The sequence below is a fragment of the Homo sapiens genome, chromosome 8 (assembly GCF_000001405.40).
Source record: "Homo sapiens chromosome 8, GRCh38.p14 Primary Assembly".
In the NCBI taxonomy this organism is placed as follows: domain Eukaryota; kingdom Metazoa; phylum Chordata; class Mammalia; order Primates; family Hominidae; genus Homo; species Homo sapiens.
Window position 1 is genome coordinate 116,265,183 of NC_000008.11, and position 15,154 is coordinate 116,280,336.

The 15,154-nt window shown below is 37.6% G+C and overlaps 1 long non-coding RNA gene across 1 annotated transcript in view, besides 1 other annotated feature; it reads right to left on the bottom strand.

Annotated features, from left to right (window-relative positions):
* Positions 1-15,154, bottom strand: part of LINC00536 (long intergenic non-protein coding RNA 536) — a 374,549-nt gene that overhangs the window by 314,672 nt on the left and 44,723 nt on the right. Inside the window, exon 2 of the long non-coding RNA NR_046215.1 lies at positions 8,299-8,530. This is a non-coding gene — a long non-coding RNA (long intergenic non-protein coding RNA 536). The remainder of the gene's footprint in view (positions 1-8,298; positions 8,531-15,154) is intronic.
* Positions 9,472-9,766: a silencer, noted in NCBI's record as "tiled region #9276; HepG2 Repressive non-DNase unmatched - State 24:Quies". NCBI's record gives its function as "represses a minimal TATA promoter and a strong SV40 promoter by Sharpr-MPRA in HepG2 cells {active_cell/tissue: HepG2}" and the evidence as "EXISTENCE:reporter gene assay evidence [ECO:0000049][PMID:27701403]".

A 15,154-nucleotide genomic window follows, 5' to 3' on the forward strand; every position in this document is an offset into this window, starting at 1 on the left:
GTGCTGAGGCTAATTAGAAGACTTCTGTAATTCAGAACGTGGAATATCTTTGTGCTCCTTCAGTTATTTTTTCTTAGGTTGATGGAATCCCTGGGTAAGAAGAGTGGAGAGAGGAGAGTGAATTCTCTTCCTGAGTCAAGACATCAAGATATTATGTGGACGAAGGGCCTCATCTCCACCATGTGCACATTACATGTTTGGTTTATACTCTCAGGTGCTATAAAGGAGGTTGGGGGAATGTACCTAGAGTAAATACAGAGTAAATAACTTAAAAGATGATAATTTAGACCAGGGGATGGCAAAACTTTTTCTGGAAATGGCCAGATAGTAAATATTTTCGGTTTTGTGGGCCATATGGTTTTTGTCACAAGTACTCAACTCTGCCATTAGGAACAGGAAAGCAGCCATAGACAATATGTAGATGAATGGGTGTGGCTGTGTTCCCATAAGCTTTATTTGCAAAAACAGGTGGGATGGGTTTGACCCAAGGGCCCTACTTTGCCAACTGCCAAGTTAGAGAAAAATCGTATCTACTTAAAGCCTTTGATAGTATTCTCATTTCCATCTATGAATCAAGGTGGAACACTGGAAAGGGTAGATGATATAATGTTGGCTATTTACTATCAAGTTTTATAACATTAAAATATTATTTACTACCACCATAGGAATTGCATTTCTGTAATTATTAATTATTTTTCAAGACATTATTTAAAAATATTTCCTATGAAATGCCTCATTTAAGACTTTTCTGACAGAGTTTAGTATTAGAATACAAATGTTTTCCATCATAAAACTTACGTGTTTTCTTCTGTCAGTGGACTCAAATATTTATTAGACATACCTCTTCATCCTTATTAGAAAAGTTTTAAGAAAGTTTTATGCTTAATTCTAATAATCTTATGATTTAATGGCTAGCATACTTTCCTTCTCTGTTTTGTTTTTACCTTCAATCTTCCTTTCTCTCCCTCTATCTCTTTCTCTCTCTCTCTCTCTCATTTCTATTTCATTGGTCTTTTTTTCTTAAATCCACCTGAGATTTTTACAAAAAAGGAATGAATTCCAAATAAGCACACATAATACTACAGAAAAACATTTCAATTCCAAATAAAGAGAGCCAACAGAAATGTAAACCCTACTTGACAAATTAAGCCCTGTCAGGACCAAGGAGGGATGAGATTATTTTGAAGAAGAGGAACAAGGTAAGAAGACTTTCTCTATCAAATATTAAAATTTTCTAGAAATTTTGAGTAACTGAAAAGTATGGTATTGGCTCTGGAAATAGAGAAAAGATCAACAGAATAGACAAAGTAGTCTAAAAACAGATGAAAAATATGTGGAAATTTAGTTATGACAGTGGTAGTAACTGATTCTCCAAACAGAAAGAAAAAATCAGATTAAAAAAACTTTTGGCCAGGCGCGGTGTCTCATGCCTGTAATCCCAGCACTTTGGGAGGCCAAGGAGGGCAGATCACAAGGTCAGGAGATCGAGACCATCCTGGCTAACATGGTGAAACCCCATCTGTACTAAAAATACAAAAAATTAGTCAGGCGTGGTGGCGGGCGCCTGTAGTCCCAGCTACTTGGGAGGCTGAGGCAGGAGAATGGTGTGAACCCAGGAGGCAGAGCTTGCAGTGAGCCGAGATTGCACCACTGCACTCCAGCCTGGGCGACAAAGTGAGACTCCATCTCAAAAAAAAAAAAAAAAACTTTTATTTTAGGTACAGGGATACATGTGCAGGTTTATTATATAGGTAAATTGCATGTCACAGGGATTTGGCGTACAGATTATTTTGTCACTAAGATAATAAGCATAGTACCTGATACATAGTTTTGTGACCCTCACCCTCCTCTCACCCTCCACCCTCAAGTAGGCCCCAGTGACTTTTATTCCCTTTTTTGCGTTCGTGTATACTCAATATTTAGCTCCCATTTAAGTGAGAAAGTGTTTGTTTTTCTGTTCCTGCATTAGTTCACTTAGGATAATGGCCTACAACTCCATCCATGTTTCTTCAAAGGACATAATCTCATTTTTTTTATGGCCAAATACTATTCCATGGTGTATATGTACCACATTTTCTTTAACCAGTTCATCATTGATTTCATGTCTTTTCCATTGTGAATTCTGCTGCAGTGAACATACATGTGCATGTGCCTTTGTGGTAGAATGATTTATATTCCCTTGGTATATACCCAGTAATGTGATTGCTGGGTCAAATGGTAGTTCTAAGTTCTTTGAGAAATTGCCACACTGCTTTCCACAATGGCTAAACTAATTTACATTTCCAACAGCAGTGTATAAGAATTCTCTTTTATCCACAGCCTTGCCAGCATTTCCAACAGCAGTATTGATTTTGTAATAATAGCTATTATTTTTTGACTTTTTAATAATAGCCATTCTGACTGGTATGAGATGCTATCTCATTGTGGTTTGATTTACAGTTCTCTAATGATTAGTGATGTTGAGCATTGTTTCATATGCTTCTTGGCCATGTGTATGTCTTTCTTTTGAAAAGCATCTATTCATATCCTTTGCCCACTTTTTAATGGGGTTGCTTGTTTATTGCTCATTCAATTGTTTAGGTTCCTTACAGATTCTGGATATTAGGCTTTTGTCAGATGCACAGTTTTTCAAATACTTTTTCCCACTCTATACGTTGTCTGTTTAATCTGTTGATAGGTTCTTTTCCTGTGCGGAAGCTCTTTAGTTTAATTAGGCCTCATTTGTCCATTTTTCTTTCTATTGAAATTGCTTTTGGCATCTGTATCATGAAATCTTCGCTAAAGCCTATGTCTAGAATGGTATTTCTAGGTTATCTTCCAGGGCTTTTGTAGTTTTAGGTTTTACATTTAAGTCTTTAATCCATCTTGAGTTGATTTTTGTATACGGTGTAAGGAAGGAGTCCAGTGTCAATCTTCTGCATATAGCTAGCCAGTTATCCCAGCACCATTTATTAAACAGGGAGTCCTTTCTCCATTGCCTCTTTTTCTCAGCTTTGTTGAAGAACAGATAGTTGTAGGTGTGTGGCTTTATTTCTGGGCTCTCTATTCTGTTCCATTGCTCTATGCATCTGTTTTTGTACCAGTGTCATGCTGTTTTGGTTACTGCAGCCTTGTGGTATAGTTTGAAGTTGGGTAATGTGATGCCTCCAGCTTTGTTCTTTTTGCTTAGGATTTCTTTGGCTATTCAGGCTCTTTTTGCTTCTGTATGAATTTTTAACTCTTTTTTTTTTTATTTTGTGATGGCTGTCATTGGTAGTTCCATAGGAATAGTATTGAATCTGTACGTTGCTTTGGGCAGGATCACCATTTTAACAATATTAATTCTTCATATCCATGCGCAAGAGATGTTTTTCCAGGTGTTTGTCTCATCTTTGATTTTGTTGAGCAGTGTGATGTTATTCTCACTGTAGAGAACTTTCACCTCCCTGGTTAGCTGTATTCCTAGGCATTTTATTCATTTTGTAGCTATTGTGAATGGGATTTTGTTCTTGATTTGGCTCTCAGTTTGGACATTATTGGGTATAGAAATACTACTGACTTATGTACATTGTATACTGAAACTTTGCTGAAGTTATCAGATCTAGAAGCTTCGGGGCAGAGACTGTGGGGTTTTGTAGATACAGAATCATGTCATCTGCAAATAGAGAGTTTGACTTCTTCTCTTCCTATTTGCATGCCTTTTGTTTCTTTCTCTTGCCTGATGCTATGGCTAGTCAGAACTTCCAGTACTAGGTTGAATAAAAGCAGTGAGAGTCGGCATCCTTGTCTTGTTCTGGTTTTCAAGGGGAATGCTTCAAGCTTTCATTTATTCAGTACAATGTTGGCTGTGGATTTGTCATAGATGGTCATTATTTTGAGACCTTTTCCTTCAATGCCTAGTTTGAGGGTTTATAACATGAGGGGATGTTGAGCTTTATTGAAAGGCTTTTCTGCATCCATTGAGATGATCATGTGGTTTTTGTTTTAAATTCTGTTTATTTGGTGAATCACATTTATTGATTTGTGTCTGTTGAACCAACCTTGCATCCCAAAGATGAAGCCTTGATTGTGGTGGATTATCTTTTTTATGTGCTACTGGATTCAGTTTGCTAGTATTTTGTTGAGGATTTTTGCATCAGTGTTCATCAAGGATACTGGCTTGAAGTTTTCATTTTTTGGTGTGTCTCTCCTAGGTTTTAGCATCAGGATAATGCTTGCCTCAGAATGAGGGAGGGAGGAGTCCCTTCCCATCAATTTTTTTGGAATAGTTTCAGTAGGAATGATACCAGTTCTTCTTTCTACATCTGGGAGAATTTGGCTCTGAATCCATCTGGTCCTGGGCTTTTTCTGGATAGTAGACTTTTTATTACTGATTCAACTTCAGAACTCATTTTTGGTCTGTTTAGGGATTTTATTTCTTCCTGATTCAATCTTGGGAGGTTTCACGTTCCTAGGAATTTATCCATTTCTTCTAGGTTTTCTAGTTTGTGTGCATAGAGGTGTTTGCTGTCATTTCTAAGGGATTGTTGTTTACCTGTGGGGTCAGTGGTAATGTCCCCTTTGTTTTTTCTGATTGTGTTTATTTGAATCTTCTCTCTTTTTTTATTAGTCTAGCTAGTGCTATATCAATCTTATTTATTCTCTCACAGAACCAACTCCTGGATTCATTGGTCTTTTGTATGGTTTCTTCTGTCTTTATTTCCTTCAGTTTAGCTCTGATATTGGCTATGCTGTATCTTTGTTTTTGAGATGGAGTGTCACTCTATTGCCCAGGCTGGAGTCCAGTGGTGTGATCTCGGCTCACTACAACCTCCACCTCCCAGGTTCAAGTGATTCTCCTGCCCTAGCCTACTGAGTAGGACTGGGACTACAGGCATGTGTCACCACGCCCAGCTGATTTTTTTTGTATTTTTAGCAGAGACAGGGTTTTGCCATATTGGCCAGGCTGGTCTCAAACTCCTGACTTCAGGTGATCCACCCACCTCAGCCTCCCAAAGTGTTGGGATTACAGGTGTAAGCCACCACACCCAGCCTGTATCTTTGTTTTAATTAGTTTCAAAGAATTTTTTTTATTTCTCCCTTACTTTCATTGTTTACCCAAAAGTCATTCAGGAGCAGGTTGTTTAATTTCCATGTAATTATGTGCTTTTGAGCAATTTTCTTAGTATCGATTCCTATTTTTATTATGCTGATGTCCAAGAGTGTGGTTCGTATGATTTTGGTTATTTTGAATTTGCTGAGAATTGTCTTAGGATTGATTATGTATTCAATCTTAGATGTGCCATGTGCACATGAGAAGAATGTATATTCTGTTGTTTTTGGGTGGAGAGTTCTGTAGATGTCTGCTAGGTCTATTTGGTCAAGTATTGAGTTCAGGTCCCAAATGTTTTTGTTAATTTTCTGCCTCAGTCATCTGTCTAATACTGTCAGTGGGGTGTTGAAGCCTTCAAGTAGTATTGTGTGGTTATCTAAGTCTCTTTGTGGGTCTTTAAGAACTTGTTTTATGAATCTAGGTGCTTCTGTGTAGGTGCTTCTGTGTTGGGTGCATATATATTTAGGATAGTTAAGTCTTCTTGTTGAATTGAACTCTTTACCATTATGTAATGCCCTTCTTTGTCTTTTTTGATCTTTGTTGGTTTAAAGTCTGCTTTTTCTGAAATTAGAATAGCAACCCCTCCTTTTTTCTGTTTGCTTGGTAAATTTTTCTCCATCTCTTTACTTTGAGCCTATAGGTGTCATTGCATGTGAGATGGGTCTCTTGAAGACACCATACAGTTGGGTCTTGGTTATTTATCCAACTTGCCACTCTGTGCCTTTGCTTGGGGCATTTAGACTGTTTACATTCATAGTTAATATTGATAAGTGCAGGTTTGATCCTATCATTATGTTGTTAGCTGGTTATTATGCAGACTCTTTTTTGTAGTTGCTTTATAGTGCCAATGGTCTATGTATTTGAGTGTGTTTTTGTGGTGACCAGTGGTCTTTCCTTTACATATTTAGTACGCCCTTAAGGGTTCTTGTAAGGAAGGTCTGTTGGTAATACATTCCCTTAGCATTTGCTTGTCTGAAAAGGATCTTATTTATCCTTCATTTATGAAGCTTAGTTTTGGTAGATATGAAATTCTTGGTTGGAATTTCTTTTCTTTAAGAATGCTAAATATAGGCCCCCAATCTCTTTTGGCTTGTAGGGGTCTCCTGAAAGTTCCACCATTACCTTCATGGAGTTCCCTTTGTAAGTGTCCTGTCCCTTCTCTCTAGCTGCTTTTAGATTGTTTCTTTCAATTTGACCTTGGTGAATCTGATAACTATGTGTCTTGGAGATATTTGTCTTATATAGTTCTCACAGGTGTTCTCTGCATTTCTTGAATTTCAGTGTTGGCCTTTTTAGCAAGGTTGTGAAATTTTTCATGGAAAATAACCTCAAATATGTTTTCCAAGTTGCTTGCTTTCTATCCCTGTCTTTCAGGGACACAAATGAATCATAGATTTGGTCTCTTTATATAATCCAATATTTCTCAGAGGTTTTGTTCATTCTTCTTTATTCTTTTTTCTTTATTTTTGTCTGACTGAGTTATTTCAGAGAACCAGTGTTCAGGCTCTGAGATTTGTTCCTCAGCTTGGTTGATTCTGCTAATATTTGTGATTGTATTATGAAATTCTTGAAGTGAGGTTTTCAGCTTAAATCAGTTTGGTTCTCCCTTAAATTGGCCATTTTGTCTTTCAGCTCCTGTATTCCTTGGATTGGGTTACAACTTTCTCTTCAATCTCAATGATCTTCATTCCTATCTATATTTTGAATTATATTTCTGTCATTTCAGATGGATCAGCCTAGTTAATAACCATTGCTGGGGAACTAGTGCAGTCATTTGGAGGTTAGAAAACATTCTAGCTTTTTGAGTTGCCAAAGTTCTTGTTCTGGTTCTTTCTCATCTGTGTGGGCTGATGTTCCTTCAATCTTTGAAGTTGCTGTCCTCTGGATGGAGTTTTTTGCTTTCATCTTCTTTGATGTCTTTGGAAGTTCACCTGGAATAATGTGGGTTCATTCAACTGACTCTGTTTCTGGAAGACTTTAGGGAGCCAAGTATCAGCTCAGCACTCCAGGGCTGTGTGCTCTAACTCTTGGGGCTGGTACCAGGCCACTGGCTTTGTTCTCTGGCCTGCTGAGATTAGAAACCTGCTGCACTGGAGGGGTGAAGGTGCTCCCCATCTGCTGGCCAGAATGGATGCTAGTGTGTTGGGTGGTGCTGATGCATGGTGCAGGACAAAGTGCTTTGTCAGGGCAAGGGAAGTGGAATCCATGCTTGCTCACTCATGCTGTCAGCCACAGTAGTGTGGTTGCCTGCATACATGTCAGCTGGGGCAGGGTAATGGTGGGAGAAGGGCTGTGATGTTCCTGCATACAGCTTGCACCAACAGTCATGGAGCTTGGCAAGGACAGGAATAGGGAGTTGGCTGGGCCTGACTTGCTGGTGTCTGTGCTTGCACTCACTCCAACAGAAGTAGTAGTAGTAGGGGTCCGGCATGTTCACAGCCACAGCACAGTGGAGGCAGGGCCAGTATCTGTGCATGCCTTCATGCAGACAATTGCAGTATGACCAGGTACCCATACGTCAGCAGGGTAGGGAGGGGATGTGGTGCATACTTGTGCTGATGATAGTGGCACAGTAGGGTGTGGGCAGCCATGCATACTGGTGAGGGAGGGGAAGCAAGGTCCACATATGGGTGTGTGTCAGCAAAACAGTGGATGTTGGCTGTGTGTGAGTGTGTGCTAACAATGCAGCAAGGTGGTGGGTGGGGGGCTTGGGGAGGCTGCAGTGAGTGGTGAATGTGGGTGGGCTGGTGTGTGTCGATGGAGGCCAGTCTGCTGGAGGTCTCCCATGGTCAAGTGAGGTCTGCCACTGAAGGAGTTATGATGAATGCCCCTGGGAAGCACCCTGGTTGGGCATCCAAGACTGTGCTGCAAGAAGGTGTGGCCAGGATAGGGCTCTGGGAGAGGCCAGCAGACGGGTCACTCATATCAGACTGACTCTGTCTCACAAGTAAGACTGCCATGGCTCAGTGCAGGTTTGACAGTCCCTCTAAGGCTTAAATCTCCTAGAGGAGCATGGCAGGCCTTGAGGAATGGGCATCCCTGCCCATGCTTCATCACAGATGTTCCTGCACCAAACCTCTGGGCTCTGCACAGGCTGGAGTCCTGCCCTTACCACCACTCTAAGTAGCTCTCCCTGCTAGCTCTCCATGGGAGTTATGGGGTTTCCTGCTGCCTGGACTCCAGAGATCAGTGGCAAGAGCAGGTCACTTCTAACCTGTTCAACTCACCCCTTTCCCAGGAGTTGCAGGGGGCCAGAAACAAGTCCTGGTGCTCGGTAGTCCTGTACAGGGTTCCCAGCTTCCTTCCTCTTCAGCCCAGTGTCTGCATCATCCTTCCATCCACTCTCAATGCCTTCCCTCCAAAGATCTGCTCAGAATGTACCAGTCTTCCTGACAGCTCAGTCTCTTGGTGGGAGATGTTCCTCCTGGCTACGTCTAGTTAACCATCTTGGCTCCTCTTCTGAAAGATCAAGGATTAGAACTGCTCCAGGACCCCCGGGACATATAATGAAGACACCCTCTGTTTCTACAGGGTCCTCCAAAAATCAGCTTTTTACCTTATAAAATATATAAATTAAAAATTCCAAATAAATTAAAAACTAAATATGAAAAAAGTAGAAATGTTTAGTATATAAATATATGATATATCTTTATGACATCATGGTAGGGAAAAAACCTTAAACATTATAAAAGCAAAAATCACAAAAGAAAATATTGATATTCACTCCATTAACTTTTTATACTTCTCTCCATCAAAAATATCATAAACAGGCCAGGCACAGTGGCTCATGCCTATAATCCCAGCACTTTGGGAGGCCAAGGTGGATGGACCATTTGAGGTCAGGAGTTTGAGACCAGCCTGGACAACATGGTGAAACCCTGCCTCTACTAAAAGTACAAAAATCTGCTGGGCATGGTGGCGGGTGCCTGTAGTCCCAGCTACTCCAGAGGCTGAGGCAGGAGAATGCTTGACCCCAGGAGGTGGAGGTTGCAGTGAGCTGAGTTCATGCCACTGCACTCCAGCCTGGGTGACAGAGCGAGACTCTCTCAAAAAAAAAAAAAAAAAAAAAAAAAAAAAAATATATATATATATATATATATATATGAAACAACAGGAAAAATAAAAGATTAAGGATTAATAATCAGAATACTTAGATATTCTACAAAACAATAAAATTAATAAATATCAAACCATATAATAAATAAATAAACAGCCTTACTAGGGGAACAAAACAAAGTATATGTAACTCACAGAAAAGAAAAAGCAAAGACCATTAAACATCAGAAATATTGACACCCAATGTCAATATTAATTAAAAAAAATAAAAAGAGATATCACTTGGATTGACAATTTTAAAGACTTACAACATCAATTTTTGGCAAGGTAGTAAGAAATAGGAATACACTGATGGTGGGAGCCTATATTAGTACCAACACCCTGGAGAGCAGTTTAGGAATTCCTAGTAAAGTGGAAAACATATACACATCAATGGCCAAGAATTTCACCCATGGATATCAACCCTAGTGCAGCAATTCTCAAAGTTTGGTCTCTGCACCAGTATTTGCATATCCTGAGGGTTTGTTAGAAATTTAGATTCTTGGGCCCACACATTCCATTTGAATCAGGAGGTCTCAGGGAGGGGCCAGCAATCTGTGTTGTCACAATCACTCCAGCTGATTCTATTGCACAATCAAAGCTAGAGAAACCTTCACACATGTGTTCCTGAAGACATGTACAAAGAAGGTTCATGGAGGCATTGTATGTAATCACAAAAAAAATATGAACCACCCAGCTGATCCTCTCAAAAGAATGGAAACATAGGCTGCAGTAATCAAAACAGCAGAGTACTAGTACAAAAATAGACACATAGATCAATGGAAAAGAAGAGAGAACCCAGAAATAAAGTTCACTTCTACAGCCAATTGATCTTTGACAAAGTCAACAAAAATAAGCAATGGGGAAAGGAGTCTCTATTCAATAAATAGTGCTGGGATAGCTGGCTAGCCATATGCAGAAGAATGAAACTGGACCCCTACCTTTCACCACATACAAAAATTAACTCAAGATGGACTAAAGATTGAAATGTAAGACCTCAAACTATAAGAATCCTAGAAGAGAAGCTAGGAAATACCATTCTGGATACGAGTTTGGGGAAAAATATTATGACTAAGTCCTCAAAAGTAATTGCAACAAAAATAAAAATTGACAAATGGAACCTAATTAAACTAAAGAATTTTGGCACAGCAAAAGAAACTATCAGCAGAGTAAACAAGCAACATACAAAAAGGGAGAAAATATTCACAAACAATGCATCTGACAAAGGTCTAATATCCAGAATTTGTTAGAAACTTAAACAGTTGATGTTAAGAAGTTAAACAATTGAACAAACAAAAAACATTAAAAATGGGCAAAAAACATGAACAGACACTTCTCAAGAAACACAGACATTTGGCCAACACACATATGAAAAAATTGTCTAAATCACTAATCTTCAGAGAAATAAATGTAAACCAAAACTGCAATGAGATACCATCTCACACCAGGCAGAATGGCTATTGTTAAAAAGTCAGACACAATAGATGCTGGAAGGCTGTGGAGAAAATAGAATGCTTATATACTGCTGGTGGGAATGTAAATTAGTTCAGCCACTGTGGAAATTAGTCTGAATATTTCTCAAAGAGCTTAAAACAGAAGTACCATTTGACCTGGCCATGTCATTACTGGTGTTTACTCAAAAGAAAACAAATGATTTTACCAAAAAGACACATGCTCACATGTTATTCACAGCACTATTCACGATAGCAAAGACATGAAATCAACCTAGGTGTCCATCAGTGGTGGATTGGATAAAGAAAATGTGGTACATATACCTCACGGAATACTACACAGCTATTAAAAAGAATGAAATCATGTCTTTTGGAGCAACATGAATGCAACTGGAGGCCATTATCCTGAGCAAATTAACACAGAAACAGAAAACGAAATGCCACATGTTCTCACTTACAAGTGGGAGCTAAACCTTAGGTATTCATGGACATAAAGATGGCAACAATAGACACTGGGGGCTGCTAGAGGGAAGAGATAGGGAGAAGGGCAAGGGTTGAAAAAATAACTACTGGGTACTATGCTCAATACCTGGGTGATGGGCTCATTCATACCCAAACCTCAGCATCATGCAATATACCCTGATAACAAACCTGCATGTGTATCCCCTGAATCTAAAATAAAAGTTGAAAAACATAAATAGAATGAATAATAAACCCTGGTGTATTCATTCTATGGATTGTTTTACAGCTATTGGAATGAATGAACTAGTTCTATCAACAAGGATAAAAATTCAAAACCAACATTGAATAAAAAAAAATCAAATGACAAAAGATTACACCTTATGATGTTATTCATGTACATTTTTAAACTGAAAAGAAAGGTAGATGCATTACTCATGTCTTTAATAATTTATTGTAAAGTACCAAAACCCATAAGAAGATGTCACACCAGCATCAGAAGGATGGTTACTTCTGGCAGAGGAATGGGGAAGTGAGGCAAAGGGACTAATGAATTATGTAGAGGTTTAACTAGATCTAAAGTACTTTTATATCTTATGAAAATTCTGAAGAAAACATGGTGAATGACAGCATCATTTAAAATTGAGTAATGGATCCATGGAAGTTTGCTGTTATTTTTTGTACCTTTTTCTTTTTGAAGTATTTGATAATTTTCACAAATATCTTAAAGACATAATAGCCTAGGGGAAAAAAAAACCCAAAACTGTAACATAGGCAAGTGTTTTCTTAGATACTGCCAGTGCTTCTTCGTGTGCATTCCACGAATATTAAATGTCAGCAAAGGTCTGTGCAATCCCTGAGATTAAAAAGAATTATTTCAAAGCCCAATCCCATAGCTTGTGAAATCCTAAATAAAAAGATATATACATAGATACACAGTTTCTTCAGCTTTTAATTTCTTTCTTTGTTTCCTCATGGAAAATCTATACTACCTACAGATTTAGGAAAATATCTCAAGATTCAAATTAGGTTTGCCTTTAAATTGCTTATCTAGGAAATTAAAAGAAAAAAATCTAAAGACTTAAAAACAATGGACGCAGTGAGAAGTGGTAATAATTAAAACAGATAGAATAATTGGAAATCTATATACAGAATAGCAGGACACATGTAAAATACCAGTCAATTGTTTCTTGCTCTGAAAATACTCAACAGCTATGGAGACAAGACCTCCACATACTGCCATTTGTAGGATACACCCAATGAAATGGATGGCTTCCCATAAGGTAAGTACAGTTAAAAGATCACAACTCAACAATCTCCAGGCCCAAATAATTCAATTTATTTCTTTTTAAATCAGTTTTATTGAGGGATCACATACAATAAAATTCATCAATTTTATATGTAAAATGTGATGAGTTTTGACCAATGTATATGATCATATAACTACTACCACAGTAAAAATACAGAACATTTTCATGACCCCAAAAGTTGCCTCATATCCCTTTGCAGTCAAATTTTTCCTCTAGTCCCTGGCTCCTGGCAACTATTAATCTGCTTTTGTCACTAGAGGTTTTTTTTTGTTGTTGTTTGTTTTGTTTTTTTCAAAAATCTCCCATAACTAGAATTGTACGGTATGTATTTTTTATTCTTTCACTTAGCATAATGGTATTGAGATTCATTGATGGTGTTCCCTGTATGAGTAATATATTCTTTTTTTTTATGTCTGAGGTGTATGCCACTATATGGATAGGCTACAATGTAAAATGTCTTAGTCTTAAATATGAATGAATCAGCTAAAACTTAAGAAAAGTCTCCTATATTAAAAAAAAAAAGAGGAGGGGCAACTGTAGTAAATGAAAGAGGGAGGCAAACATAGAAGAACAAATAAATCAAGGGAGAGAAAAAAGCTTTTTAAAAGATTTTAATGTATCAGAGAGATATGATAATTTTTTTCTCTCTTACACAAGAAAAACATACTTTGAGAAAGGAAAAATTTGAAAAAACAAGAAACCACTCTCAAAATTTTAAATACTATTTTTAAAAGGAAGTTTGAAAGGTAAAAAGTCAGATAAAGTAAAAGAAATTTCCAAAAAATAAAAATACAGGAAAATCTAAGAGGTGGAATATTTAAAAGATTAATGAAGGTGGTCTAATATCTAATTAATATTAATCCCAGAATGAAGGAATGGAAAAACAAAGGAAGAAAATTATCACAGGAAAATGTCATAGAATTGAAGGACACAAAATGTCTAGATTGAAAAAGACTCACTGACTGCTCAGGATAAGGAGTGAACAAACACCTGCAACAAAGTGCATCACTATGAAATTTCATAACATGGATGCTAAAAGAGAATACCTGAGAAACTTCCAGAGGAAAAAAAAATAAAATCAGATTTAGTGCAAAGAGTCAAGAATAAAATGACATCAGACTTCTCATCAGCAACACTGTCTTCAAAATTCAGAGGGAAAGGGAAGTTATTGACTAAGCATTCTAAAGTCAATGAAGCTATTATCCAAATGTAGAATAGAAAGAATAAACGCAGATAAGCAGAAAATTAACTTACCATGTTCTCTTCTTGGTAAGCCCATTAGGACTTGTCCTAATGCTGGGACTTTGGTCCTAGTGCTCTAGCAGTAAAATAAGAGAGAAAGGGCGGGGACGGGGATTAATTTCAGAAAAAGAAGGCAAAGAATCCATCCCAGAAAAATCAAAACTGAATTCTTAGGATAAAACCCAGTCCAGTTGGAGAAGGAGGACTGAGACACTGAAAGGTAGATTGTAGGAGAAAGAGAAATTCTATAGAACAATTAATATGATGAGCATTTGAAAATGATTAAAATTTTGTGGCAAGCAAAAACTGACCCAGTTAGACACTCCAGGAAAAACAAAGCGCTTTATAAGAAAAAGATGAAATTCTGGTACACTATTTGGCTCAGCAGTAAACAATATTTACAAATTATGATGATACAATTACTGATTATGATTTAACATAATTAAAATGTTGATCATCAAGAAATTAATAAATATTGTACAAAGTAGATTAATCAGGACATCAACTTGTATAGGGATAGTATTTAGAAGGAACAGATAAGAGTTAAAAATGGTTTCCAATGGAAAGATACAACTGGGATGTGAGGAAGGACTGGGCCAGCAACTGCTGTATTCTAGTGTACACATTATAGTATTGCTTGATTTTTAAATATGGCATATATTATTATTATAAAAATTCTAATGTTTAGTTTCAAGTTATACCAAAATTTGGGGCTGCTGGGGGAGAATGATCCTTTAAAATAAGTTACAGAACAGACTTTAATGTTTAATAAGAATCTTTACAATAATAATAAATATTGATTGAGTGCTTCTAAATTTCCAGGCCCTCTTCTAAGTTTTCTATGTGTATTCGCTGATTTAAAAGGACAGAGAAATTTACTCTAGGGCCTCAAAAATAGGGAAGACACGCCTTATTTAAAATTTAAAAATTCTGATGTGTAAAGCAAAAGGGAATCTGGTCTTCTTTTTATATTCCCACCTTCATCTAGCCCTTGGCATTTAGTATCTGAACTATAAAAAGTGCCTTCTAGTTGCCTGATCTCCAAACTTCCCCTTTTTCAATCTATTTTACACAGGCTACCAGACTAACATTCCTAAAACACTATATTGGTTTAGTTACACCTCTGCTCAAAAGTCATCAGTGGCTCCACTTTATCTAGCAAATAAAGTACAATCTTAGCATGTCATTTAAATTCTTCTGGGGCTGCTTTCCAACTATCTTCCTTTTATAGTTTCAAGTTTCATCAAACTAGTCCTTTTGTAAATACGGACTAGTTACCTTTCTCCAACATGCTTTGTGCTTTGTACTCTCTTATGTCATACCTTGCACCTAAAATGCTTCTGCTCCCTCAAAATTCACTTAACACATTGATAACCCATTCTTCAAAGTGCAGTTAAGGCATCTCAGGCTCTATCTACACTGCCATACTCAGTCACAAAGGCAGAAATGATTTCTCCTTCAACTGCATACCAACGCCAATGATGATCAACCTTAGTTTCTCTGTTGGCCATCTCCTGGCCAATTCT